At 32.7% G+C, this 3,069-nt stretch overlaps 1 annotated feature.

Annotated features, from left to right (window-relative positions):
• Positions 2,287-2,864: an enhancer, noted in NCBI's record as "NANOG hESC enhancer chr5:120814228-120814805 (GRCh37/hg19 assembly coordinates)". NCBI's record gives its function as "activates a minimal SCP1, AML or CMV promoter by ChIP-STARR-seq in naive H9 embryonic stem cells {active_cell/tissue: H9 hESC(naive)}" and the evidence as "EXISTENCE:reporter gene assay evidence [ECO:0000049][PMID:30033119]".

The raw sequence follows: 3,069 nt of genomic DNA on the forward strand, positions 1-3,069 counted from the left end.
CCACAAACTCCTCAGGAAGTGACAAAATGATAGCAATTTGGTAAACCATATATTTTAATTTTTCTGCAATTCCCTGATTATAAGGCATTGATAGATTGATACTACTAAATCAAGTTTACTAATTCACTGACAAATACTTCATTTAAAAGATTATATTCAACAAAAATACAAAATAATTATTTAACTATATTTTCTACTGCATTCATCCCTAATCAATAAATAATTTTAGGGTCCCAGAGGCCATGACAAATGTTAAAAAAATAACTCTCTAGGGGCCATAAAAGATTGCTTTATAAGTTGTTGCTATACCTTTCAATTTAGAAAAATGTAGTCCTAAAAAGGAGAAAATGACATTTCAGAATAACTGTTTCATTATACAGGGTAGGATTGAACAAAATTGGCATAAGTCTGTGGAAGAAAACCAGAGAGAAAAGGAAGAACAAACCTTAAATACAGAAGATATAAATTTACTGAGTGTTACAGAAAATAGAAAATAAGTCAACACAAGAGCCACTAAAAATATTTGAGACAATGTGGCTATGGTAAATATGACATAAATAAATAAAAATAAAGCTATTTTATCTTTACCAATCTGATATTCCTACATCTATTTTACTAAATAAAAGGATCTTATTTATAGTAGGTAGAAAGGAAATGTTAACAAATGTTTAACATTTATGTATATAAATTAACTTATTGTAATGATTATTAATTAAAATCTTTTTGCAGTGCTCCAAATAAAAGTATAATAAATGCAGCAAGTTTTTAGAAAGTGAGCTATTATATAGGTATGTTGCCCTGTATTTATTTTGTCCTTTATAATTGTTTTCTAGCTTTTTAATTTCTCCATATGATAGTTTATTTTTACAATAATGAATTTAGTTGTGTAATTCAAATATAAATAGAGACATGGAAAAGTTCTAATAATGTATGGCAGCATATCTATAGTTTTCCTTACATTTTCCAAATATAACAGAGCCTACATCTTTTGTTCTACTGGGTGTCCCTTTTGGGGCCCTGTGTTAGTCTGCTCAAGCTCTTGTAACAAATACCAGAGACTGGATGTCTTAAACACAGTTTTTTTTCTTTTTTTCACAGCCCTGGAAGCTGGAAAGTCCAAAATGAATGTGCCAGTTAATTCAGCTTCTGGTGAAGGCTCTCTTCCTGGCTTGCAGATGGTGGCCTTCTTGCTGTGGTCTTACATGGCAAGGAAAGAGAAAGAGCACGATCTCTCTTGCCACCTGTTTTTATAAGGTCACTAATACTATTATATCAGGGGACCATCTTTGTGACCTCATTTAACATTAATTGCTTTCTTATAGGACCTGTCTATAAATACAGTCACATTGGGAGTTAGGATTTCAACGTATTAATTTCAGAGGGATAAAAATCCGTCCATTGCAGGCCGCCACCAAGTATTTAGGCAGCAATCAAGAGGAGATAAAAAGCTTTTTCAAGAGCCTCAATATATTTTACTTTTCTCTCTGTTAGTCTCTATACAACTTTCTCTCAGTCTCACTCCCTGCCTTTCTGTTTCTCTCATTCTTAGTCTTTCTCCTGTCTGTTGTCCTTTCCTTCCTTCTTCCTCTTGTATAATCTCAGGTACATTAGCTACCTTTCATAGAATGAAAAAGTGTCACATAAGCAAGAGGAACTGAGAGAGGAATTTTGAGGGCCTTGCTCAAGATAATAAAACCCACAAATGGCAAGGACCAGAGCAACTTCAGGTGACTTTCATACCAAATTAAATGCAAATTTAGGATGAAAAGTGCTCTAAAACTTGAAAAAAATATATAGAGAACTCTTCAGTGGCTATAATGCCATTAAGTTGCCATCTTATAAATAACCTAGATTCCTTTGAAAACAGGTTCTCTAACAGTACTTCATTTCCTGAGACACAGTCTTATAACACATTAAAAGTGAATTACTAACACTAATAAAAACTTAAATAAGCAACAGTTTTTCACCAGCAATGAGCTTCTCTTCTTCAGTAATATTTTTGATAACTCCATTTCTACCAAAATGTCTCATGAAGTGGAATGAAATGGAATGATACTGTCTAAATTCTATAAGAAGACTAACTAATCTCAGCAATGGAAAAAGGTCACAAATAAGAAAATGATTTGTGCAATTCAGGACTCTATACAAATTCTAGATACAGATATCTTTATGTTTCCTTGCCATTCTCCACAGGTAAATGCATTTAGGTATACATAGTCAGTTATTCCCACAACTATAAATAGTAAGTTTATACCTATCTTTATTGATGTATTAAATTTAGTCTGAATCAAGTAATCCATCATTGAAATATCAGAAACACATTTCCCATGAATGACCTACCCATATTTATATCCTGACTCATGTTAATACTACTTTTTAGATATTCTAGGAAGTATCAGATTGTTTTCTTCCAGACAAAATTCTTTATCTTTTGTACATACACGTAAGTCCTATAAAGACAAACAAAAATTAAAAATAAAAGGCTGAATTCTGCTTGTTCAAAATAAGGAAAGAAACTTCTCCCCTTTCATTAGGAGGATTTACCTTAGAAAATAGGCCTTTTGTCGACTTTATGACCCAGGAATGTCTTTCTCCAGAGCCCGGCAGCCATCTCTTTGAAATGTAAACATCAAGAAATAGCACCTTTTACCCAGTTTTTGCTGGAGAGCAGGAATCTGACTTTGGTGGGCAACATGTTTAAAGTTCTAAAATTACCTTCTGTTATAAACATATGACAAGCTTATTTCTCCTCTAATAAAGCCAATAAGCTAATACAGATGGTCACTCCAATTGCTATGTAAGGTTAGGATGAACTATGTGTAGCAAATTCAACCTTCAAGTCCTCCTACTTAAGGACTAGTTACTGTTTAGCTTAAAAACTTGTATGTAATTAGTTGTTTCTGCCTAGATAAAAGATTCAGATTTCTTTCTGTCTTTGCATCTCTGGGCAGATGGCCAGTGATGCACATAACACTTTGGTTTAATGCTTATTCAGTAACATGACTGATTTCTGTCTCTAATAACTTTATGGAGAGATTTTCTGGGTTGGGAGATGATTTTGTTTTTTAA

The sequence above is a fragment of the Homo sapiens genome, chromosome 5 (genome assembly GCF_000001405.40).
Source record: "Homo sapiens chromosome 5, GRCh38.p14 Primary Assembly".
Taxonomy (NCBI): Eukaryota; Metazoa; Chordata; class Mammalia; order Primates; family Hominidae; genus Homo; species Homo sapiens.